The sequence below is a fragment of the Homo sapiens genome, chromosome 18 (assembly GCF_000001405.40).
Source record: "Homo sapiens chromosome 18, GRCh38.p14 Primary Assembly".
Lineage (NCBI taxonomy): Eukaryota > Metazoa > Chordata > Mammalia > Primates > Hominidae > Homo > Homo sapiens.
In genome coordinates this window covers 73647199-73674928 of record NC_000018.10, presented here as the reverse complement: position 1 = coordinate 73674928, position 27730 = coordinate 73647199, and the positions used below count along the sequence as shown (strand labels likewise).

Below are 27730 nucleotides of genomic sequence, written 5' to 3'. Positions count from 1 at the left end.
AAACTCCCAGAAATAAATGACTGAAATGAGGGAGTTTTCTTTTTAAATAAACAAATTTCAGTCATTTTATTTCAGTTTTTTATTTCTGGGAGGGATAATAAGGGTGAGGTATTCATTGTAGCTACTTTTAAAGGATTATTAGTATCTTCAACCCACACGTTGTCTTTCTTCTGCAAACCTTCAGGAGAGTAAAAGTTTTCTTGTCCTCTGAACCATAAAGATTAATTGTTGTGACGTGGCTAGAGTTTCACTCAAGCCAGAATGGCTCTGTTACTACTGATGAAATCTTGCCCAAGAATCTGGAAGTCAAACCCTTTTAAGTATGTTTAAAACTCTTGATTAGGCTGATGTGATGATGCCTGGTTACCTCTCTGCCAATTGGGCTCAGGACTGCGGGGGGAGTTGGGAAGTAGAGTCCCAGGGAGGGCTTGCTAGCCTCCCACCAACCCAGCACCTCCTGGCAGTTTAGAGTAGCCTACAGTTGTATGAAAAGGTGACTGAGGGCATGAGCAGAGCAGCAGTCACTGCCAATTATTACTCCTAACCCTCACCCAACAGGCACAGGATGACTGAAGAGGACAGCGCTACTTCAGAAACACAGCTGGGGAATTTTATTCTAAAAGTTGCAATAGTGCTTTGGTGCCATGTGACAGCTTCCTTGAACCTTCTCAGTGGGTCAGACTGACTGCATCACTGGTTCCCGAGTGAAAGAAAATATCTGTGCGCTTTTGGAAGAGCTGTCATACTGTCACAATGAAGGGCAAAAAGAAGGAAAAAAATCAAAGGTGGTTAAAATCTTTAGAAAAACATCAATTAAACAGGCACATTGGTCAAAAATTTATAAACTCCCAGTGCCCAGATTGTAGTCTTTAAATATTTCCCACATAAAGGGGCCAGGAGATCTTTAAAAAATTATAAATTCCAGGACTTGGGAGAAAATGTACAGAATGAGCCTGGAACGGGTTGTTGTTCCAGGAATCAGAGCTATCAATGGCTATCAGGGTCAGTACCGCCAAGGTCATGTCAATGGACCGTCGGTAAGGATTATGATTGTAGTTGGTTAAAGCACATCACTTTTTTTCTATGTAAATTGTAACTTAGTGCAATTAAATGGTTCATGAGTAGGGATTTCTCTGTATGGGATGATTCTACATAACAATGAAGAAGAAATTGGAATATCACTTATTTGCAGTCCACTAATGAAATTAATAAATCCACGCAAAGATTGTCAATACCACCTAACTTCATGAAAAGGAAAACAACTAAACATTTTGTGTACCCAGTGGATGTACACTATGCTATCTATGAAGTATCATTGCCAAAGAATCCAACCTGAATCTGACCAAGTGTTTGTTCCAATCTACCAATTTACTGGAAATACAGAAAGAAGGGAAATGTTTTAGGTAACACCACAGTGATGCAATGAGTAGAGTCCAGGCTGATGGAAATTCTACAGAACAATCTGGTTTCTTCAACACATAAGTTGTGAGCAATTGCAAAACAAAACGAAGTAAAACAGAAAAAAAGAGGTGTTACTATGGTTTGAAAAAAGACATCAGATAATTATCTTTATTTGGCTGTTGACCCAAGCGAACAATATAAAATTAATTTTTCCACTTGGAAAAATTTATATACTGCCTGGATATTTAGCAGGATTATGGAATGAGTTAATATTAATTTTGGAAGGATAATAATATTTTGCTTGTTTATTTGAGTCCTTATTTTTTGAAGATACAACAGTAATATTCAAGGACAAAATGATACGATGTTTGAAATTGAGTTTAAAGTATCTGAGGAAGGGGCAGAGTAGGTGGGGGTATAATTTGTTAGGTGGCAGAATTCTATATAGAGCCTCCCATTCCTGCCCAGCCAGAGATCTTAAAGGGCATGGATAGAGAAAGCAAGTGATTGGAAGAGTCCAGGTTAATGTCAAGTGGAGGAGGACGGTGCTTACTTATACTTTCATCTGGCTATATAAATGTCCGTTTATATCTATTAAACACAAGCTCTTCCACCATGCGGTAAATTGGATTTTGGTCCCCAGCACCAGTATGGTGTTAGGAACTGCTATTTCCTTTTGTTTCTGGATTTTCTTACAACTTGAGAACTGGCCTTTATTTTCATTCATGTTGTTTTGTCAGTAACGCAAAAATGATTTAACTTTGAACTTATTTCAATTTGTCAGATTTTTTTTTTCTTTTAGCCAACTTTATCAAATTCCAAAATTCCTTCTTCAGCCCCAGGTCATGAACTTTTGCTAACTTCTGCTTCCCTTAGTAATTAAAATTTTTCTTATAGGGAACATTGGGTTTATATTTACACCACCTGGCAAATTGACACCTGTATAATTCATAGGCACTAAAAAGGACAGACGCCCTCAAAACTGCCTGGCTTGTCTAGCTGTCTCTGGTTGGTTTGCTCTCTCACTCTCTGAAATAGTCATTTCAACTGTTAAAAACTTTCTAACCTCTAACCTTCCCTCCTCCACCTTGAATCTCAGTAGATCACTGCTCTTGTTACTTAACATGAAAAAAGAACTTATTAGATAGAAGTTCTGTCAAATTTCCTGCATGTATAAATAAATCTAAATATTTGGCACCCATCTTCTCCCCATCTATTGTGCTGCTTCTATTGGTAAACAATGGAAAACAATACCTCCTCTAGGAATAACTCTATTCATGCTTTCTTAATAAACTTACTCTACTGATTATTTTTACTTTCTATTTTCAGCTTTTCTCTCCCTATTTAGTCTTCCCATCCCTATAGAAATGTGATTTAGTTTCTCCTATGTTAAAAATGAAATGAAACAAGAATAATTCTATTGGGAGATTATAAGGATCACACTATCTAGTTTCATCTAATCAGAGTCCAACCTTTTTAAAGAAATACTCTTATGTAACAGTTCGTGGTCTCACTTCCATCTCCTCTGGCTCTGCACCTCTACTCAACTGAATCTGCTGCTTCCATGGGCCCAAATAACACCTGGTTCCACAAAGTCAGTGGGTGACTTTCTGACTTGGCTTTTTCATCATCTTCAGCACAGCTGAACGCTCTCCTCCTTTTGACACTGTATTCCCTCTGCCTCCCCTTCTCCTCCACCTCTCTCTCTCTCTCTCTCTCTCTCTCTCAGCTGGGCATTCCTTATTCTCCATTGACATCAGGTTTGACTCTGATTAGATAAAGCTAGATAGTGTGATCTTTATAATGTCCAGGGAGAGTTATTAATGTCTCGCTTTTATTTATTTATTTATTTATTTATTTATTTATTTATTTATTTATTTGAAACGGAGTCTTGCTCTGTGGCCCAGGCTGGAGTGCAGTGGCTCGATCTCAGCTCACTGCAAGCTCTGCCTCCCAGATTCACGCCATTCTCCTGCCTCAGCCTCCCGAGCAGCTGGGACTACAGGCGCCCGCCACCACGCCCAGCTATTTTTTTTTGTATTTTTAGTAGAGACGGGGTTTCACCGTGTTAGCCAGGATGGTCTGGATCTCCTGACCTCGTGATCCGCCCGCCTCAGCCTCCCAAAGTGCCGGGATTACAGGCGTGAGCCACCGCGCCCGGCCCTCACTTTTATTTTTTTATTTTTATTTTTTATTTTACTTTAAGTTCTCAGAAACATATGCAAAACATGCAGGTTTGTTACACAGGTAAACATGTGCCATGGTAGTTTGCTGTACCTATCAACCCGTCATTTAGGTTTTAAACCTCGCATGCATTAGGTATTTGTCCTAATGCTCTCCCTCCCTTTGCCTTTCACCGCCCAACAGGCCCTGGTGTGTGATTTTTCCCTCCCTGTGTCCATGTGTTCTCGTTGTTCAGCTCCCACTTATGAGCGAGAACATGCAGTGTTTGGTTTTCTGTTCCTGTGTTAGTTTGCTGAGAATGATGGGTTCCAGCTTCATCCATGTCCTTGCAAAGGGCATGAATTCCTTCTTTTTTATGGCTGCACAGTATTCCATGGTGTTATGTGCCACATTTTCTTTATCCAGTCTATCATTGATGGGCATTTGGGTTGGTTCCAAGTCTTTGCTATTGTAAATAGTGCTGCAATAAACATACGTGTGCATGTGTCTTATGGTAGAATGTCCTTCTCAGTCAGTTCTTTGAACATTGGTGTTCCAGTTTCGGTTCCAAGCCACCTTTTCTTATATGACTCTTTTCCTAAGCAAACTCATACACACCTGTAACCACAATGACTAATACCCAGAGTGTTGCGACTTTGTGTCTCCTGCTGAGATTTTGATTCTGAGCTCTGGGTCGGTATTTCCAATGCATGTCTAATGACGCCCTTAGAAGCATCTCCCTCTCAGCATCTGGAAACTGAACCCATGCTTTTTCCCTCACACAGGGAAGGCCCTCCAGAGATCTCCCCACATACTTCTCTAGCTCCTTTCTTCATCACCTCATCACATTGTCTTATTAGTTAAAAAGAGTCTCCCCAGATTCATTCATATATAGTAATTATTACTGTAATTGGGAAATATCTATACAAATGGAAATTGATTTTTTTTCTGTTAAAACAGGAACATATTGATATCTTTATGCTTTACTGGGATGATAGAGATTCCATTTTATTTCAATTAAATGTGATTTATGTCATTCAGGAAATGATGCATTGCACCTAGCTAACATTAATCATAAAGGACTATGTTCTTATCTTTGGAATTCACAAATGAGACACATCTTATTTTCTGAATTGATTTCTTCCATTAGTCACCTAATATAGCCAGGAGCTACATTAATTTCACCTCTACCTCTGAGGAGAATGACAAAAAAAAAAAAAAAAGTGCCAGCCTGGGGCTTTTGTACATGACACCTTAGAAAATTCCTGAAGGTCAAAATCCATTTCTTTGCTTCCAAATAATTGAGGGTGGATAAAAGCAAACTCCTGCCAGTTAACCAGTGAGAAAATCAAGATGTTCAAAAAACGTGCACACTAATAGACTTCCAAAGTGGTTGAGGATGGAAGAAAAGACAGTAAGAAGAAAAACAAAATTGAAATTTACTACACGCTACTTCTAATTGAATGTGGATTGATTAAGTTGTAATGAAAATAAAACTGCATTGGGGGCATCATCATATCTGAATTTGAGTCCCAGCTTTGTCATTAAAACCACAGCTCTGCTAAATCATCTGGCAATGCCGTGCCTCAGTTTCTCCAACTGTGAAGTGATGATCAAATGCCTCACTGACAATTCACATATGTGAAAGTATTCTGAATGTGTCATAAAACTGCAGGCTCATATTCTTTATAAAGGTCCACAAATTTCCAGGCCATCAAATAATCTGATTGAGCTTTACTCTAGCTTTTGTTTTTAAAACTTCTAGATCTGAGAAACCCTCTCTCCGGGTACCCTGATGGAATCCACAGAGTGATCCAAACCCCCCTGAATTCCTGGTGTACTGGCAGTGTTAGCCAAGGCAAACAAACAAACGCGCAAAGCCAGCCCGGGCCTTCTGTAATTGCCTTGTGGGATTGTGTAACAGGATTTTCTTCCAAGGCATCCATTTATTTTCCTTTGGCATTCTACCTTCACATTTTTGTTCCTATAGTTTCACTTAATACAAAGATCTGCTACGCGATACTTAGAAAAAAGGTGTTTATTTTTTCCTTGTTGAATATTTTCTATAAAAATTATACAGGACAAAATTCATGTTAATTAAATAAACTTTAAAGACATAACAATGGGGTTTTAGCCCCTCTGTGTGTTTCACTGAGACAGTTTCATGTTATTGGTTCTACTCTTTTTGTCACAATTCCTCAACCTTTCCCTTTCTCCATCCCCTCCTATCCTCCTTCCCTGAGGTGGAGGTGGTCCAGGCAGGCCCTGCCATCCCCTCTCTGGTGAGAAGGGCCGGGCTCTCTCGGAGGCTCTGGTAGCTGATGATGCGATGATTTCCTCAGCAGCCTCTGTTCTCCAGGTGCCGCCTTGAGTTACCTTATCTCAACCTGCCATTTTTTGTATGTGGCAGCTTTCAATTGGTGAAGAATCCTGAAAAACAGTTCCTAGAATATGAAACTTCCCTAGAAGATAGACAGTAATATTACAAGACCAGAACAGTCCAACCTTTCAGCAATTCTCTTTGATGGATCTATCTTCATCAATCAATTTATAAATCCATTTAATAAGGAGAATAATTATACATTTTGCTCACCGGCTCATACATTTTTCTGCTTCATAAACAAATACTTCAAGCTGCTAAACATGAGTAGTTTGTGTCTGTGTTTTTGCTGCCGAAATTAAATATTTATATTTTAGCATTATTTGGTCACCTAATAAAATTATAGCCTGTTTATTATCTAATTATTTGGTGGAAAATAGATCTTTAGTGTTCCACAGACATTTCAAATATATGCTACATAATTAAAAAACAACCATCCAAACATATGCTGCATGATCTTTCAGAAGACAGTCATCCAAATGCATGCTACACGATCCTTTTAAACACAAATGCCTAATACATACATACAATTGTTCAAGCTTACTTTTAAGAAATAAGAATTAAATGTAACAGATACATTTTGTCCACAAAATGGTGCAGATTAATAAGAATACAATAATAATGTCAAGAACGATGTGGGGAAATGGGAATCTTTTGTACTGCTAGTAGGCATCTAAGTTTGCACAAACTTTGTGAAAGCAATTTGTCAATATTTATCAAACACCTATACCCCTTGACTCAGCAATTCTGCTTTTAGGAAACTATCCCAAGGAAATAATTGAAGATGTTTATACAACAAAGCAGCTACAAGGAGAGCACTGCAATCTTTTTATGTTAGGCAAAAATGAAAATGATCAAACAGATGACTGGTTAAAGAAGCATGGCACAGTTGTACAATATGCCCATGAAAATGTGGGGATAGAAATACATTTTCTGACTTGGCAGGATATTCACGATACACTATTAAATACAAAGATAAGACATAAAACAGCCCAGGCAGCATTTTTGTATTTTTATATACAGAAGTGGTTTTCTCTGGGAGGGTGGATGACGGGTGACTTTTTTCTTACCTTGTTTTTATTTACATACCTGTAAATAAATTGTTTTTAAACAATAAAAACATGATTGTTTTGTAGTTAATTGGTAGTAAAATATATGTCTTTACTACACTGAAATAACATTTTTCTATGTTCCATAATGGAAAAACTCATCCATCTCTCTCTCTTCCTGATTTCTTTTCAAAGGGCAGTTCAGCGGCAGAGCTGGCTAGTGGCAGAAGTTCATGTCCTTGCAATTTGTCCATTATTTTATCAGGAATTTTATATTTTATTCTATCATTATTTTACAGGAATACAGTTCATTGATTACCTCATTTTCTTAATGTATGCAGAAATTGAGAAAGAAAAAGGAAGAGATGAGAATAGACCATGTATAATATTCAAAACAGGGAAAATCAGAGATTTGTCTAATATCCAAAGTTTTTCTTTATATGCACTGAGGAAAATGCTAAAATACCAAATACTTTCCTAAGTTGAATTTGTCTTAACAGTATACATACATAATAATCACCCATTCAATGAGCAGAAAAATCTTATGAAGATAAACGTCTAAGCAAGGTCATTGCATTTTTTTTCTCACTCAGTAGCTTCAAATGTTGAAATAGGTATTTGTGTTAGAAAGCTTTACCCTTTCACTGTATTTAAATTTCATTAAATTATGTAAAATCATTTATAGTCTTTGGCATTAAACTTGCTGAATCATTTTTTGGCTTATTTTGGGCAGTGTGTGAGGTTTTTCTTTAACCAGCCTGTCTTAGTAACATTGTTGAGGGAGTTCTTTCAGGTAATTTAGTTTCTTAATAAATTATAGAAGTTCCCTCCTCACAAATAAGTATAAGTGACATTTATTTTGATCATTTTTTATCTCTGATATCAGAGATAGTCTATTTTTCTGCTTATATCTATGAGATATTTCTAGAACGTTGAATGAACCACTTTATTTATTTATTTATTTATTTATTTATTTATTTATTTATTTATTTTGAGACAGGGTCTCTCTCTGTTGCCCAGGCTGAAGTGCAGTGGCCTGATCACAGCTCACTGCAACCTGAAACCCCTGGGCTCAAGCAATCCTTCTGCCTCAGCCCTCTGAGTAGCTGAGACTGATATTTATTTTTGAATTTTTTGTAGAGAGAGAGTCTTGCTATTTGCCCAGTTTGGTCTCTAACTCATGGCCTCAAATGATCCTCCTTCCTTGGCCTCCCAAAGCATTGGGATTACAGATGTGAGCCACACATCTGGCTTGAACCACATTCTTAATTATTCACTATGTTCTTTGAATTAATTTCCAAAAATAGTTATATAATTCTTTAAGAACTCATCAGAACATTTTAACAAAGTTAAATTTCCCAAATTCAAGGAACCTTTACTTCTACAAAGTAAATTGCAAATAGAAAGAATGGTTATTGCAATTGTAAAAATAAAATAGATTCAGCATGTCTAGGACATGCAAAATGTAAAACCTAACACCATGAAAACCCTAGAAGAAAACCTAGGCAATACCATTTAGGACATAGGCACGGGCAAAGGCTTCATGACTAAAACACCAAAAGCAATGGCAACAAAAGCCAAAATAGACAAATGGGATGTAATTAAACTAAAGAACTTCTGCACAGCAAAAGAAACTATCATTAGAGTGAATAGGCAACCTATGGAATGGGAAAAAATATCTGCAATCTACCCATCTGACAAAGGGCTAATATCCAGAATCTACAAAGAACTTAAATTTACAAGAAAAAAAACAAACAACTCCATCAAAAAGTGGACAAAGAATATGAACAGACACTTCTCAAAAGAAGAAATTTATTCAGCCAACAGACACATGAAAAAAATGTTCACCGTCACTGGCCATCAGAGAAATGCAAATCAAAACCACAATGAGATACCATCTCACGCCAGTTAGAGTGGTGATCATTAAAAAGTCAGGAAACAACAGGTGCTGGAGAGGATGTGGAGAAATAGGAACACTTTTACACTGTTGGTTGGAGTGTCAATTATGTTCAACCATTGTGGAAGACAGTGTGGCGATTCCTCAGGGATCTAGAACTAGAAATACCATTTGACCCAGCGATCCCATTACTGGGTATATACCCAAAGGATCATAAATCATGCTACTATAAAGACACATGCACATGTGTGTTTACTGCGGCACTAATTACAATAGCAAAGACTTGGAACCAACCCAAATGTCCATCAGTGATGGACTGGATTAAGAAAATGTGGCACATATACACCATGGAATACTATGCAGCCCTAAAAAAGGATGAGTTCATGTCCCTTGCAGGAACATGGATGAAGCTGGAAACCATCATTCTAAGCCAACTATCACAAGGACAGAAAACCAAACACCACATGTTCTCACTCATAAGTGGGAGTTGAAGAATGTGAATACTTGGACACAGGGTGGGGAACATCACACACCGGGGCTTGTCGGGGGGGTTTGGGGACTGGGAGAGGGATAGCATTAGGAGAAATACCTAATGTAAATGATAAGTTGATAGGTGCAGCAAACAAACACGGCACAGGTATACCTATGTAACAAACCTGCACGTTGTGCACAGGCACCCTAGAACTTAAACTATATATATATATACACACACATATATATATATACACACACACACACACACACACATATATATATATATCAGAGTATGGATATACGATCACTTTAAATGAGGTGTCAGGTATTCTTCATTACAGCTGCATCAAACGCAGCTCTGATCCAAGGAAAACCAGCCAGTGCTCCATCCCCATAGGAAACCAGCTTGTGATCCCTTCCCAAACAAAGCTGCTTCTTTTCTGTACAGTGTAGCTTGAAATCTCCAGTTTCACAGTGCTCTAGATGAGCATAAAGTCCTATTGACCTTAAGTACAATAACTTACTGTCCTACAAATCTGTTGAAAAATGTGACCACCTAGGCCCTTAAATGCCAGTTGAGCTTTTCAGTCCCTTTCAGCTAAATGAGAAAGCCAAAAGCAAACTCTGTGATTCAAGGACAGTGGATGAATTTGTAAACCTCTCTAAGGAACTCAGTCATAAATCACCAAATGAATTATATATATAGATATATATAGATATTTCTTAATAAGCAGATATTGGTTTTTGTTCTCATTGTTTAAATTATAATGTTGAAAGTGATTTATTAGCCAAATTTAGTTATGTCTTAATGAAAATGACAGTTAATGCCTCATCAGCCTTAACTGAATTATCTACCTTCTAGATATGGTAAAGCAAAAGACTCCTGTGTCTAGAAAGAACAAGAAGCAAATAAATGATTCGGGATCCCACTGACAGGTCTGCTGTGAAACTCAAGCGTTCATAAGCCTCTGTAACATATTGTGCCTTAATTACGATGCCAGTTTAATTAATCCTACTCATAATTTATTGATTTGTTAAATTCACTTTCTTGACAGGGTATTAAGTAATCATTTTGAATCTATGGTACACAAATGCATACACACACAAAAACCTTCCTTTTTTCTTTTTCTTTTCTTTTTTTTTTTTTTTAAGATGGAGGCTCACTCTCACTCTGTCACCCAGGCTGGAGTGCAGTGGTGTGATCTCAGCTCACTGCAAGCTCCGCATCCTGGGTTCACACAATTCTCCTGCCTCAGCCTCCCAAGTAGCTGGGACTACAGGTGCCCGCCACCATGCCTGGCTAATTTTTTGTATTTTTTTTTTTTTTTTTTTAGTAGAGACGGGATTTCACCTTTTTAGCCATGGTGGTCTCGATCTCCTGACCTCGTGATCCGCCTGCCTCTGCCTCCCAAAGTGCTGGGATTACAGGCATGAGCCACCGCGCCCGGCCACTTTTTTCTTTTGCTGGGTTACCTGCACATACAGCATCTATTCCTTTCCCTGCTTCACATTGTTGGGATTTCACACATCTAAGATTTACTGTTGTGTTTGCTTCCTTTAGGCAACAGTTTCACTCTAACTTTCTACTTGTGAAAAAGGGTCTGGCTCTATAGAAAGAAGACCTTGAATATACTCATAACATATAAAAATATGGCATTAAAAGAGCCTGAGGGTATTCTCCAAGAGGAGGAGGGGAGGAAAACCCAAGAGACAGGGAATTATTCCTTCAAATAAGCTTAGAGTTGCAAGATTTGTCATTGTGTGCTTGTGGTTTCAACTTTTAGTAGCTGCATAACCCCAGGCGAGTGTGGTAGGTGCCAAAAGCTGGTCCAGGTTTTGGATTGGCAAGCATGCAAACTCAGAGTCCCTAAGGAGAGTTTACTTCCATCTATTAACAAGTTGGCAATAACATCAACAACAGGGCATAGAATCCCCCTGGGAAGAAGGGTTTGAGTTTATTCCCCTTTGTTCCTTAGAGACGTTTGCTGGAAGTCTCCGAAGCCCAAAAATAAAAATTTGGCTGGTCAAAAGCATCCACTGACCTTTAAATTTTTGAGGAGGGGATGATGGTGGTGCGAATATCACACTCACAGTTTCAAGGGCAAGACTCATCCCATTTTTATGTATGATGACTCTTGCAGTGCTTTACGGGCATCCACCCTTGAAAGGGTCAGAGCTAATACAGGCACCAAAAAACTTTGATCAGTGAATTTTTCTAACAGTGTGGGAAGGTACGCAAATGTAAATACAGATACACAAATATATACTGATTCAAAATGCTGTCATGATAAAACTGGGGGAAAATCCATAAGAGTAAAAGCTGTAATTCAGCCAGGTGCAGTGGCTCACACCTGTAATCCCAGCGCTTTGGGAGGCCGAGGTGGGCGGATCACCTGAGGTTGGGAGTTCGAGACCAGCCTGACCAACAGGGAGAAACGCCCCTCTCTACAAAAAATACAAAATTAGCTGGGCGTGGTGGTGCATGCCTGTAATCCCAGCTACTCGGGAGGCTGAGGCAGGAGAATCGCTTGAACTTGGGAGGAGGAGGTTGTGATGAGCTGAGATCATGCCATTGCACTCCAGGCTGGGTAACAAGAGTGAAACTCCATCTCAAAAAAAAAAAAGAAAGAAAGAAAGAAAGAAGGCTACAATTCTCTGACATCTGTGCCTTTGGAAAATAGTCCTATCCAGGGCACCTTGCATTTAGAACTATGTCCTGGAATGACCAGCTCCATTCAATCTTAAAGGATTAAAGAGGACTGCTACTACCAGAACAGTGGCAGAATGAAAGGGGAATGAGAAGAGGACATAGCAGGCTTGCCGAAGGGAGTCAGTCCCTCCTTCAGCCCCAGCATGCAAAGTGTCCATCATCACTACAGAGCAGAGAAGAGAAAATGTTGATGCTGGCAGAGACCCTTGATGCAGGATTTTGTGGTCACTTCAAAGAGGAATGCAAAGCAAGTAAGCAAGCTGAAGCTGTGCAAAACAGCGTTCCAAAACACACCGAGCAGAGAATGTAGGTTAGAACGGTGCAGATCACAAAAGATAAGCAGAATCTGCAAGAAGATAATTTCCTTTCATCAGTTGAAACCATAATGTGAAATCAGAACCAACTTAAAAATGTAATAGTTTTACAAACAATCAAAATGTATCTCCTCCTCTAGTGTGTGATTTGAAGTGAAACCTCTTTGTACTCTCCATCATGTCCTGTGTTGAAGCACTCTTAGTACCTGATTCTACATAGATACCTGTGCATATTGGAGCTCATATGTGCATTAGACTTAAGTTACTGAAACTCAGAATTGCCCACTTTACCATGCAGTGATGTCCTGTAGCCCATAAAGATAAGAAGCAAGACTTAAACATCATTCAAAGCACTGCTTAACAATCTGCCATACCCAGCCAATCCTGATTAATTCCTTCTTGCATTTGTTCCATCCTGTCTCCTTTCTCTGAATTCCTGTTTCATTGCTTACAGTTCCAAGATGTTCATTGGATCTATCCAGATTTGGCATTCACACGCTCCATAGGATTGCAACTCAGATCTCTTTTATGGACATGGTTTCCACTTCCTAGGTCTAGCATTACACATTTTCTTGATGGGAATTTCCTGCTCTAGGTATAACTCTTAAGAAGTAAAACTCTCAGCAGAATTTCTTCTGGGACATACAGTAGAAAATTATAGGTAAGAATTCAGTAGAAATTATAGATAGTAATTATAGAGTTAGAAGGTGGACTGAACGTTCTTGCCTTCCCATAAAATAGGCCAAATACAAGAATAGATGATTTACATCTGTGCAATCAAATAAATGTACATAAAAGCATGAGCCATTGCCTATTAACAGATCAGCCAGATTAAAAAGATTGATATTACCTAAGATTTAGTGAGGCTTTGAGGAAACAGAAATCTCAAGCACATTAATGGGTATATAAATTGGTGCAAACTTCCTTGAGGGTAGTTTAGAAATATGCAGTAGGATTTTAAATATAGTTGTGGAAATAAACCAAGAGCAACCAAACGAGCATGGACAAAGGCTATTTATTCAGAGTTTGCTATAGCAAGGGAGTCAGCGCCATCATTTATGCTTTGGCAGAGACTCAAAGGCAGGCAGAAGAGTGGAAAGTTTTACAGCAGAAATCAGGGAAGGCTTCAGGTGTGCTGTGATTGGAGGCTGTTGGCCTGGGGAAGCTGTTGGTGGGCTGAGTAGAGGTGGGGAATCCTATGTGATTGGTTAAAAGTACGTATCTGACTTTTCCTGGTGGGTCCTACATTAAAAATAGGGTCAAAAATTAGGGAACCTGTCAGTTATTAATCAAGTCATGGCCATTTGGGGCCATGTTACAGGGGGTCTTATTTGGCTTCCTGGATAAGTTGCTAGTGTGGCCTGACTGACAGGTAGTAGGCTGGCTTCCTGGGTTGGTTCCTCTAGGAAATGAGTAGTTTCCCTAGTACAGTTGCTGCAGATCGTGGGTTAGATTCTGTTTTTGTATGTGATCTGGCCATCATCTGTTTGTATGTACAGACTTTTAGAATAACTGACTGGAGGAGGTAATTGAACAATGATTTTATTTAAGAAAGTGTTTGTTATTTCAGAAAACATAAAAGAGGTGAACTTTTTTTTTTCAATCTACTGTTATACTAGACTGTTGCAAAAGACTGAAGCAATGGTTCTTGGTTTACACGGGGACAGATAGAGCTCTCTAAAAGTGAAGTTACAAAGGGAACCATCATCCCTTTGGTAAAACACAACATGATTCTTGCATAAACTGTCATTCTATGTGAAGTTTTACAGTCCATCCCGATAAATCCCAGTGTCCACAAACCATCAGGAACACAACTATGTTTTACCTGTAGTCAAACAAATGTAGGTGTATTAACTTGCATGCCATAGACAATCATGGGATGTCTCAGTAAGGGAGTGTTAGGGTGGGCTTGTATACAGTTTGGGCTTCTGATTTGGGGTGAAAATAAGACATTAAGGAATGGAGACTCTAAGGAAATGAGGTTTAATTTGGAATTGGGTGCTGCCAGAAAGCACGGCTGATGACAATTTTCTAAACACTTTTTACTTAGGAGGAAGGAGCACTGAAGTAGGTCTTGAGGTGTCATCAATGGTAGTGCTCACACTGGCCAGGAAGGAGAAATGTTTGGTTACTCAGTGGGAGCTTGGTATCCAGGTTTTATTTTTGTTCCAACAGTCATGGAGTGACCTGTCTGATGCTGACATTCTGTGAAATTGCTCGTGTTCAGTAGGAAGACCCATGGCCTGGCTTCACGGTTCCGAAACGGTGTGTAGAGGCATCTCTGGGCTCCAAAGTACATTCTCAAGACCACCTTGGCATAATTTAAATTTTGGGGGCAAGATCAGCAATGTCTTGCTGAGAATTCCGTTAAAACCATCACATTGTTTGGACCTGACTACTTAACATGTGGAGTGGTTATGTGCTTCTTTCAGCTTCTGGAGCACTATGAGAAACAAACAAAAAACAAAAACAAACAAACAAACAAACTCAAACAGGAAGGAAGCGATGAACTGAGCGTGCCTAAGAACCTCTGGCCTTGCTATCACCCAACAGGCCAGATACCGGGCCAGTTCTCAGGGCTGGGGAGTCCTTCCCCAATCCCTTTTTCTTATCCCCCAGCACATAAAAGTTTGAAATTATGGGAACTGCTGTCTAGACCTGTGCTGTCTAGTATGGATAGCATTTGCCACATGTTCTATTTAAAGTCATGCAATTAAATCAAATTGTAAAAATCAGTTCCTTAATCACTATGGCCATATTTCAGGTGCTCAACAGCCACATCTCATGAGTGGCTGCCGTATTCGACAGCACAGAGAGAGACCCTTTCCATCACTGCAGCGAGGGCCCCTGGTTCCTTTGCTCTGTGTTCAGAACCTGGTCCAAATTCTGTGGGTCCAAACACTTCTGCCGTAAGAGGATGCCCACGTAGAAGCTCTCTCTCTGCTCATTAAACTTTTCACATCCTCTGGCCAAAACATATGTTCCTAAGCAAGGAGGTTGCCAGGTTTTCTTCCCTTGTTCACAAGTGAAGGACTGGTGGGGATAACCCTCTCCAGATGGTACAAACAACACCTGGGTCTGAAATATTTACCTTTGTGTTATTTCAACAATGTCTCCAGCGTCACTCCCAGAACTAAAAGATGTCGACAACATAAACAGATGCTTGTTTTCACAGTTAGAACTACAATAACGACAATCAACAAGGAAGTAGTCACCTCCAAAAACAAATCAGACAGATAAACTCATAAACTGATTGTCTCAACTTACAGTCATTAAGGGATCAGAGACTTTAAAGTTCAATACAGTATCAGAGCATCTTTTTAGGACAAGCAACTAAATTAATGTGCTGTTTTGATACCAGACACCTGGGTTCCCACTGAGGACTTCACGTTGACCTTGAGTGAGGCTTAGCTTCTCCTGCTCCCTGGGTAAAGTTGGGGCTATTGCAACACAGATTAGGATTCTGAGCTTAGATTCGGAATCAGACTGCCTACCCTCGACCCTCCGCCTACTACATCTGAGAATTTGGGAAAACCACTTAACTCTCTGTGTCTCAGTTTATTCCTTCATAAATTGTGAGGAAGGGAAAAAAGAATAGCATAACCTAAACCCATAGGTTGTTTGAGAACTTGATATTGGATACATAAAATTTTGCTAGGTATACAGTGCTCACTTAGCAAATTTTAGCTATTAATATTACCACATATCAGGTACTGTTAGGTGATTTGACATTGTAATGTCATTTAAATGTCATCAGAACACTGTAAGATATTCATCTCAATTATGGATAAGGAAATAAACATCAGGAAATATAAATGATTCACCCCAAATCCTACAGGTTAGGTTGCAAAGCTGAGATGCTTTGAACTCTTCAACAATATTAGGTCTGTCTATAATATGCTGCCCCTACTAACAATGACATTTTTATTTAAATACTCCATTTACCTGTAATAATTTGTGAAATGTTGTTCTTCCCCTAGTATACTGTCCTCTTCACAAGAACAAAATTTATGTCTGTCTTGTTCAGTGTTCTGCCTGATGTTCCTAGAACACTGTGTCAAAAACATAGCTCTTAATAAGGATCTGTTGTGTGGATGAATCTGTCGAATCCCATTTATATTTAATATTTCCTCTAACATGAGGTTTCTAAATGGCTCTCTCCTCATTGTACACTATCATTGAGATAATAGTTTTACCAAGCCTCTTTCCATCATTGGTTCACAGGTCAGCTTAACTTTAAGTTGATTTTCTTTGAATTGTTTTAAACAAAATACACAATTCTTTTGTGACTTGTGCAAATAACTGACACATTGTTTCTCCATTTGATATCTCTAGTTTTCCAAAATCATTTTATTTTGGATGAAAAGGAGAAAAATGAAGAAAAACTAATTTTTTTTTGTAGACTAAAGTTATTATTCCATTTTTGGAAAAATAATGTTTGTGTGAAGAAAAAGTGCTAAGTAGATTTAGAAAAGATTTCCCAAGGAAAAGTGTCATTGATTTAAAATGAATGACATACCCAAAAGAAAAAATAAGCAGGCAGCATTTCGCAGTGATAAAAAGCATGAGTGAGTGGTAGATTTGTAGTATGGAAGATCCTGAAGTAATCCAGGCTGAAGCTGGCTAATGCCTGGACTGGGGACTCGCCTGCAGAGATAAAGAATAAATAAATATTCTTGATCTTTAATAGAAAAATATATTTTGTATATAGGGAAAATTCCAATCACCTTGAAAGTGACACTTTCTATTTAATATTACGTTCCATTTTAATTTGAAATCTCAATTAAATTCCCTATAAATTTAGTTGTTGCTAGGTTATTTATTCTGCAATTAGTTGGCCTTTGACTTCTTTTATTAGAAATTACAGCTTCTTGCTTTATAACTAATATGCCAAGCTACTAAATTCATCACCTATACGTAATAAGTGCAATTTAAGCATTTAAGAGGAACAATAGCAGCCAAGTGCTGATAACAGATGAAAGTATTTACCCACAGGTAATGTCAGCAGAAATGAAATGTCTCTACCGAAGGCCCAAAAGCCTTACAGTAAAGCAAGTACCGAAGACACTCACCTTAAACAGCTGCGCAGACTCAAAGGCATGCGGTATTCAGCAGTCAAGAAAAGCCTTTATTTCTCTCATGTATCTACAAACACGTATCTGTTACTGTATAAGGATTAAGAAGCTTTCTATTTTGGGAAAATGTAAAGCATCATTTTATCACAGTCTATAGTTGCACATTTCTTAATATTGAACAATTCTTTTATTCCTGAGATAAATCCTACTTGCATTAATCTTTTATTGTAATACTGGAGTTAATTTGCTAATATTTAATTGAATAATTTTTGCATTTATGTTTCTAAGTTAGATTTTTTATAGAATGAGTTGAAAAAATGTGCTGTTCTTTTTAAGCATGCATGGACTGAATATTTGTCCTGTCACCCTGCTCCACACATTTACTTGTTGAAACCCTAATCCCCAGTATGCCTGTATTTGAAAGTAATTAGGTTTAATCAGGTCATAAGGGTGGGGCTGTGATCCAAGCAGACTGGCAACCTTAAATGAAGAGAGACCAGACAGCAGTTCTCTCTGTCTCTCTCTGCAGTTGACCATTGAGAAAAGGTCATGTGAGGACAAGTAGGTGACCATCTATAGGCCAGAAAGATAGCTCTCACCAGAAACCACATCAGCTAGAACTTTGATCTCAGACTTCCCAGCTTATAAAACTGAGAAGTAAATTTCTGTTGTATAACTCACTCAGTCTATGGTATTTTGCTATGACAGCCCTAGTGAACTAAGACAATATGTTTTAGAGTAATTCAAATAATATAGGAAATATTTACTCCTTAAAGGTTTGGTAGAATTTACCAGGGGAAAAAAGTTGCATTTATCAAGTTTTCAAGGGAAACTTGTAAAAATTGAAAATTAAGTTTTCAATTTGTAAGAAATATAAATATAAGGTAATTGTAATATATACTCTTCTAAGGAACCATTGATTTGATTTTTTTTTTATTTTGTAATAAAAACTTTTTTATTCCTTTGAGAAAGTTTCTTGCATCTTTAGTTCTGGCTTTGTTTCACTATTATAATATTTATTCATACATTCTCTCACTTTCTCTAATCAGAATTAATGAGTGTTTATTCTTGTTTCAAAGATGAGTTTTTGATCAATACTGCTGTTTTTTAAAATTTTATTACTTTATACTGAAATCTTCTTTGACTCTATGTTACTTTTTATAATTGATTATTTTTGTGTCTTTTATGAAATACATCTAGAAATGAATGACCAGTAATTTTATTTGCAGCATTTCCTGTTTTCTATTACAGGAATTTGATGTTATCAATGTTAGTACCTGAGGTTGTAAATATTTTCTTATATTTTCTTCTATGAGCTCATAACTTGAATTCTCTGTGATTTTTTGTTTTTGTTTTTGTTTTTGTGAGACAGAGTCTTGCTCTGTCACCCAGGCTGGAGTGCAGTGGTTCTATCTTGGCTCACTCCAACCTTTACCTCCCGGGTTCCAGCAATTCTCCCTGCCTCAGCCTCCCAAATAGCTGGGATTACAGGCACCCACCACCATGCCCGGCTGATTTTTGTATTTTTTAGTAGAGATGGGGTTTCGCAATATTGGCCAGGCTGGTCTTGAACTCCTGACCTCAGATAATCTGCCTGCCTTGGCCTCTCAAAGTGCTGGGATTACAGGCGTGAGCCACAGCACCCAGCCGAATTCTATCATTTTTATTTAATCCTGAATAGACTATAATTTTCACTTTTTAAAAATTCAAGAATTAGTTCAAAAGGTGTTTTCAAACTTCTCTTTATACTCTCCATGGAGATCATAACCTGTGAATGTGATTGATTTGATTACTACTGTTTGAAATTTAGTAATTCTTTCATGGCTTAATAAATGTTGAATTTGCTTACATAGATCATGAATAATTGACTACTTGGGATATTCAGTTTAGCATGTACAGTTTTGTGAATATATTTGTTAAAACAAAGTAGGTTACTCAAGCCTTTATGTTTTTCCTTCTCTTACTCTGGTTGCTATGCCGATTTTTGAGAAATGTTTATTAAAATTTTGCACTATAGCTACAGATATAATTATTTCTAACATTTTGTGTATAAATATTTCAGAACCACATTGTGACCAGTATGGAGGTGCTGTACATATTTGGTCAATGTGCCTTTTGTCAATGAAATATGCCCACTCTGTATTGTGCCGATCAGGAACTCACTCCTTCCTGCTCTTTCTGGGCTGGTTTTGGCGGATTTCTTCCAGTGAGAGCATTGGAGGTGAGAGGATGATTTTCCCTGTCCCTCTGTGTCAGGTGGCAATTCGACTGTGGCCCGAATGTCCTCTGTAGCCCCATCTCCCCCCTTGGAGAGACCTGTCCTGCTTCTCCCTTCTCTCTGGGGGTCCAGCGGCACTGCCTGACTCTTCCCTTCTCTCTGTAGCCTTCAGAGTGGGAGCAACCTCATGTTGTTCATCTGTGCACCATATCATCATCTTTATGCATCAAATTCCCTTTTCTATGTTATGTTGTCTTTGTTGAAACAGGAACAACGAATTCTGTTTTCCTGATTAGACCCTAATACAAGCCCCTTAATCAAATAAAGGTTTGTGTATCATCTGATATGGTTTGGCTGTGTCCCCACCTAAATCTCATCTTGAATTGTAGTTCCCGTAATCCCCACATGTCCTGGGCGGGATCAGTTGGAGATAATTGAATCATGGGGGAGGTTTCCCCCATCCTGTTATCATGATAGTGAGTTCTCATAAGATCTGATGGTTTTATAAGACACTTTTCCTCCTTTTGCTCTGCACTTCTCCTTGCTGCCGCCATGTGAAGGGGGATGTGTTTGCTTCCCCTTCCACAATGATTGTAAGTTTCCTAAGGCCTCCCCAGCCATGCTGAACTGTGAGTCAATTAAACCTCTTTCCTTTATAAATTACCCAGTCTTGGATATGTCTTTATTAGCAGCTTGAGAACAGACTAATACATCATCTGACCTAAGAAGTCCCGTGTCAGGCAGTCCAAGATTGCAAGATTAGGCTTTTAAAATGCTTTCTAAAGGTAAAAATGCAGAGAAATGTGTGCAGTGATATGCCAATGGGTATAAACTGTGGCGTAAATGTGGAGATAAGCTTGATTCCAAATGTCAAAGTCAAAGTCTCCATTTTTCTGTTTTATTTTTTGGATGTGAAGATATTTCCTATTTAAAATAACAGGAGCCTCCATTTCCAAAACTTCCTAATCTGGGAAGAAATTTCATGAAATATTGCCAAATTCCACCTGAGTATTTCCCTCAATCATGATAACAGGAATGGCCGTCACCAACCCGATCTAATAATGTGAGTCTGAGAGAATCAGATTTTTATTTTGGATAACACATCTTCTTGAAATGTCAGCCTTTACCTGATTTTCAGACTCTCTTTAAATGGGAGAAAATGTAGATGTGTCTGTATTAATAGCTAAATGCTATGATGGAGAGTGACAGCCCCTTCTCCACAGCTCTCACTCTGGGTGGAAGCTCTCCCCTGGGAGAGTCAATAAGGCATGAAATCACGTCAGAGAACACAGTCCATGTGATGGAAAAAACAGAAGGATCAAGTGAGGAATCTCACATTTTATCTTTTGAGAAATGTAAATGTTAAGCTAAGTACAGTTAACTCTTTTTATCCGCACTGGGTCCAATTTTGCTTTTTAATTGTTTTCATGGTGAAAGAAAAATTCCACATGTTTAAATCCTTTAATTAGCCTTACTCACATGCACTTGTTTTTTCTTTCTTCCTCCTGTCTTTAGACCAGAAGTTTTTTGAATTGCATCTCTAATGACCTATCAGATCAGAAGACTGGTAAACCTGGAGCCTCATCCCAAGAGGTGATGGTGTCTGGGTTTATTATGGATCGCAGGATGTAACTATCAATCTGGAGGTAGGTTTAGCCCTGGCTCAGACAACTCAAAGCATCTGAAATGTCCTAATCCAATAAATTCTAATGTTTTCCTGGGTCACACACTTCACTTGTCATGAACAGACATGTTCTGTCTCTATAATCACACCATGCCAACTGGTGGTGACTTAGTAATATCTCCCCAGTGAACCATAACAAAATCATATTTCCTAGCTTCTTATAAACCAGAAGAAATACAATAATGCATGTTATTATTAGCCCGACACTCTCATTTGTGGTTGCTGTGTCACTATGTTTCCCTGGTATTCTGAAAGACCGTGGAATAATCAGGTCTAATGAGTAATGAAAGACCTCTAATTTATGTGGGAAATTACTTCTTGTCTTTGTGTAGCCCCTTATTTTTTATTTTTCCTTTTGCTTATGTTAACCTCTCTGTAGCTTTGATTCATGTAGGGTTCCTAGACCCTCACCTTGGAATAGGCTCTGGTTTTGTTTGTTTCTTTGTTTGTTGTTGTTGTTTGTTTAGTTTTGCTTTGCATAGTTGATTGAAGCCAAGCTTCGTATCTTCCCTAAAATATTTACGGATGTTTTTCTTCCCGTCTCTGCTTTTTCCTCCTCCTCTCTCTCTACTTCTTTTCTTCCTCTTTAACATATTCCTGGGCACCCACCACGTGCCAGGAATTGTGTGTCAGGACTGGAGCTCCCACAGTAGGCAGAACAGATGCATTCCTGACAACCTAGTTGAGGAAACAAACATAAAATCACACAAATGAGAGATAGTAAGAGCAAGCATAGAGGAAAGATTTCATATATACAATTTATATTAGGAAAGATACACATTAGGAAGAAAACATGAGCTGGGAACTGCAGTATACATAGGAGAGAGCCAGGCAGGTAGAGGGAAGAGTGTTCCCCACAGAAGGATCAAAAGTGCAAGGCTCTGAAGAGACAAATGATATGGCACCTTTGAAGAACTTAAAAGACTGATGTGGCCAAAGAATAGGTAAGGACATGGCTGTTTTTGTGAGATGATCCTGAGGCAGTGGTGCTGGAGTCTCACAGGATGTTGCAGGCCAAGTTAAGGGTCTGGGGTCTTATACGTAAAGGCTATTTTCCCTAGCGGAGGAGAGGTATAATTCAATTAAAATGAGGAAAGTCAGGAGGGGAATTCAGAAAGCCCTTGCAGGAAATTACAGCTTCCATAGAATTCCAAGTGGAATAGGGTGACAGCTGTGGACATAGAAAAAAAAGGAGGGGTAATAATGCGTTTTGGAATTTTAGTTGATAATCACCTAGTTTGGATATAGGAAGAAAAGGATTAGAACAAACCAATGGTAATTACAAGGTTTTTACCATGAGCAACAGGTTTGATGAAATTAAAATTTAACGAGATACAGACGATTGGCAGAGAATCAGATGTTAAGAAAAACACCTGAAAGGGCACGTGCTTTATCTGAGACTCCTGTGAGACATTCACGAAGGGAGATATCAAGTAGCTAGTTGGATAACTGGGAGCAGAGTTCGCCAGGAGCTGCCCATTTGGGCGTTATCTGTGTTTGGGTGGAACGGGAAGCTACTGGAGTGGATGAAAGCTCACAGGACAAGAGTGGATTTAGAAAGCATTCAGTGGCGGGCTTTAAGGAGCATTAACATTTCAGAGATTGGACAGTGGAGTGACAGACTGAGAAGTGAGCAATTAGGTAAGAGAATGTGGTTTCATGGAAGAAAGAAGTCTTTCAAGAGAGCAGGGGTAGTCAAAAATGCTGAGTACTACTGACAAATAAGAAATGAATAAAGCAAGTCCATTGGATAGGCTGTAAGGGACATAACTGATGCTTTTACATGAGCAGTCACTTTCTCTCCTTTGCTCTCCAAGATGAGGTCAGCTCTCAGGGCTGCTGACCTGCATCACATCACAGGGACCTTTTTCACCCACTCCCGAAAGTCACTGTTTTGCACCTTCATCTTTTCTTCTTGTCTCCCACTCCGGATCTGTTTCCCCTTCCTAGGACAGCGTTCCCACCTCCGCTTTCGTCTTTTGCCTGTGGCGTAAAACTCCGGCAGCTGCCCTGCTCTCCATCCCCACACCTGTCTGTGTCTGCATGAGTCTTTGTATCCTCAGGCGTTCCCCTTGGCCTCTGCTCCCTCTCTCTTCTGGGAAATCCAGTACTCACTGCCCTTCCTCTTCTGCTACAGTATCTCTCTTTTAATTTACTTTCTGCTAGAACGATGCCGAAGCTACTCAACCCCCAAATACCTCCACTTGAAACTACCTCCTTTTCTTGGGGTGCCAACCCGTACTTCCGTCCTTTAACTGATGAAATTCTTGGGGATAGTCTCCCCTTATCTGCCGTTTAGCTTTCCGTGGTTTCAGTTACCCAGTCAATTGTCATCCAAAAATAAGTGAGTACAGTGCAGCAACATATTGAGAGAGAGAGGGAGAGAAGACCACATTCACATAACGTTTTTCTTTCTACAACATATTGCTATAATTATTCTATTTTATTGTTATTGTTGTTAATCTCTTACTTTGTCTACTTTAATAAATTAAACTTGACCATAGGTACATATGTACAGGAAAAAACACAGTATATATTGGATATATTATCTGTGGTTTCAGGCATCCTCTGGGGGTCTTGGAACGTATCCCCCCACAGACAAAGAGGAACTTCTGTATGTGCAGACACATGCCCCCTAATTCTTCATATGAACAGTTCTCATTTCTGAGCTCTATGACCCTTGGACTCCACCACAGCAGTGGTATCACTCGCTCTGTTTCTGTTTTTACCACTAAATTCTAAGCTTCTTGAGGGCAGGTGGCCACATTTTATTCATCTTTACATACCATCATCATCAAACAGTGCCCAATAGGGAAGTTGCTCAATCGTGATTTGATGAATGAATATGCTTTAGAATACTTTTATGATTAAAAATATTATTCTTAATATAAAATATTGACTGTAATAAAGTACTGAATTCCATTGGTAAATGTAATTAGACGTAGGCTCAACCTGTAATACCCCTTAGAGAAAACATATGTGAACTGCCTTCCAAATTAAGCCAGTGCGTTAAAAGAACCAGAAGCCCTTTGCTGACCTCACAGTGATAGATGTCCAACTAATACACAGACAATTAAAATCCTGGACTCTATCCTTAAAGAATTGTTGCAAAATCAGCTTTTGCCAAGAAGAGAGGGTTCTGCATTTCCCATCTATTGGGATATTTTAAAAAACAACTGTTGCAATGACTATTTAAACTAAACTGAGGATATTTAAAGTTATTTTTATATTTACATAATTCCATGTGCATGAGTGCTCATCAGGTGTCTATTTTCTAAAACTTACGTCACATATGTTTTGCACACCATATTTCTGATGACATTCTTTTCATCTTAAATATGAAGGTTTAAATCATACTCAGTTTTGTCACCTGCTTGCTAATGCTTGGAAGGTGAGCAGAATTCTGTGAAATGGAAGACCATCTGGTTCCACAGGTTACATCCTGTCATTCATTTAAAAGGGAGACTTTCATGGAAGAGAAAGCAACTTGGCCCATATATTCCCCTTTGCTCTCATCTGATGCTCCTGCTTTGAGTGCTAAGTATTGAATTTAGCATCGTGTGATGTAAACACAAGCAATCAATATGGTTGCTGCATTTCTACCTGAAAAGAAGTGCTGTTATCAGATTTACACTTTTGCTAACATAGTCAATTATTTTGCAACACTTTTGGTGAAAACAGGTTGATATATGACTTACAAAAACATGATAGATTTCTTGTTTAAAATAAAAAGTTTTAATAGTGATTAGCTCTAAATGTACAAATTATATAAGACTAAGTGACAAAAAGTAGAAAAAGTTTAATGTTACTTGATTATTAGAAGTTATTATACTGATTTTTTTCATGGACGTAGCTAAAGAAAATACCAAAACACATATTTGAATACAGGCAAATCTTCTATACATATGTGAAAAAATTTACTCAGAGGGGAAATTTTGTTTCTTCTTTTTTCTACATCAAAACAGACAGATATTGTAAAGACTGCCATATGAGTTACAATTAGTTGTGTCTGTTTTTAACATTAACACATGGTACTTTTTTCCAAAATCAGAAGTAACCATTTCCTAAGAGAACTTGAAAGACACACCCAGCAGAGCCTCATAAATTATTTAGAATCTGATAAAACATTATTTTCTCTGATTACAAGAAAGTTCTCCTGATATGTATGGGCTCAAGACCACTTCATTCTGTGTTATGGGGAGTGTGCTGAGCCTTGTGTTGGGAGACCCATATTTGTGAACTGCTCCCATTTCTGCCACTATATAATTTTGGCAAATTATTTCTCCGTTTTGAATCTCATCAAGTATCATGAACTAGATGATAGTTTATGCCTCTAAAATAAGGGCATGAACTATCATCTAAATTCTCTTCCTTTTCTAGATTACGGTAGTGTAAAATAACACAAAGGTGGGCAGGTCTTAGGCAAGATTTTACAGCAACTCTAATAAAATCAATGTTATAGTGAAAAGCATCAGTTTTATAAAAGAGCTCTTTATGTTTAACAGGATGTTGAGGGTGGTGTTCCTCTTTCCTCAGAATTAGCATCTAGAATCAAAACTGGAGAAATAGAAGGCATTTAGTATTCCTATATCCTTAAGAGAGCTAAAAAAATGGGGCCAGCTACTCCTTAAAGCTCATTCAGAGGCAGCCACAGGCACTGCAAACACATCCTTATGGGCAGAGAACTTGAGGGAAGGAGAGAGAGCTGAGTGAGCCTTAGGACTCCTTGAACATTGAACTCATTGGAGTAGAGAGTAGAAAGGAGATTACCAGGGGCTGGGGGCCCCAGGGGTGAGGAGACGTTGGTCAAAGGGTATAAAATTTCAGTTAGGAGGACTAAGTTCAAGAGATCTCTTGTACAACATGGCGATTATAGCTAATAAGAATGTGTTGCATTCTTAAAAATTACCAAGATAATAGATTTTACATGTTCTCACCACAAAAATGATACATGTGAGGTAACACATGTTAATTAGCTCAATTTAGCTATTTCATAATGTATACATATTTCCAAACAACATGCTGTACATGATAAATATATATTTAATAGAAATATTATATATTATATATAATATATAATGTGTATATATGTATATATAAAATTTGTCAATTAAAAATAAATAGATACAGAGAGAAGTTTGCTTAGGAATGCATTTTCCTCTCCTAGCTTTAGGGGGAAGAAGAAAGAATATTTTGAACCACACCAGGAGAATTACCCTAGAGAATATAAGTTCACCTGCCAAAATGGGAGGCTGGCATCTTTTTGCTCTATGAGAAGGCTGCTGAGCTAACAGGTCTGCCTTGGCATAAATGTCTAGAAGAGCATGTGTCTCCTGGAGTATGGGGACATTTGTGTTTCCATAAATTGGCAGCTGCTTCTGGTTAGAGACTTCTAAAAGGTCTGGAATACTGGAATACTGGTATAGTCCAAAAGGGGAAGATGAAAAGGAGCCGTGGAACATTGTACCAGGAAGAAGATGGGACATTACTCTCCGCATGCCCTGGAGCTTTCGGAAGACGTATAAGAGGATCTTAGTTTCCATAGCTCCACATGAAAGAGCAAGCAGGGCTGCTGATGTCCACTGTGGGCTCCAAGTGAGGGACTGGCCCATGGGCAGGAGGTGAGGGAGACTTACTTGCTTTTCTCTGAGCTGGTCCACAGGAGCAGAGGAGACTGGGGTGAGCCTCACTCCAGAATACTTGTAGAGTATGTGACACCGGTTACCAACCTTGGCTCCACAAAAATTACCTGTGAACCTTCTAAAATACACATAAGAAATTCTTACTGAATTGAACTGGGACGAGATTCCACGTATCAGGATTCTGTAAAAGCTCCCCCAGTGACTCAAGATGAAGTCCGGGTTGAAGACCAGTGATATGCAGGAAATGTGTCCTGTGATTTGAAACCACATTCCATTTGTCAAGCAAGACACTACGGCCACATAATGGAGATCTACTTCCATATGAACCAGTGGATTTCACTCTGCTTAATGGTAAGACATGACGTGGCTAACCCTGGCCATCTGTGCTGCTAATGTTCTGATCTTGCTTGAGATTTTGACTGCAAATGTAAGGAACCAGACATATACAGATAGGCTGTTTGCAGAAAGGTCTCTTGAGACAATCTGAGCTGACTTGCTTATCTTGCAGAAAAATATACTGAGGCCCAGAAATTATTTAAATAAAGTCCTCAAATATGGTAATTTTAGAAAAAGGACAAGTGAAACCTATATCTGCCCACTACTCCCACTACTAGCACCAACGTTTTGATTTTTATAGTTATTTATGAAATAAGGTGTGTGCCTTTTGTAGAAACAAATAGAGCACATCCTACAAGGCTGTCAGAGAGCTGGGAGGCAAGGAGC

At 38.6% G+C, this 27730-nt stretch overlaps 1 long non-coding RNA gene across 2 annotated transcripts in view; it reads left to right on the top strand.

The window, feature by feature from the left end:
- LOC105372190 (uncharacterized) overlaps positions 1-27730 on the top strand; it is a 312925-nt gene that overhangs the window by 16363 nt on the left and 268832 nt on the right. Inside the window, exons 1-4 of one of the 2 annotated variants that reach the window (XR_007066469.1) lie at positions 14484-14653; positions 19526-19684; positions 21197-21327; positions 26533-27358. This is a non-coding gene — a long non-coding RNA (uncharacterized LOC105372190). Of the gene's footprint in view, positions 1-14483; positions 14654-19525; positions 19685-21196; positions 21328-26532; positions 27359-27730 lie in introns of those variants that run through there. The other variant, XR_007066468.1, reaches the window with a different exon arrangement.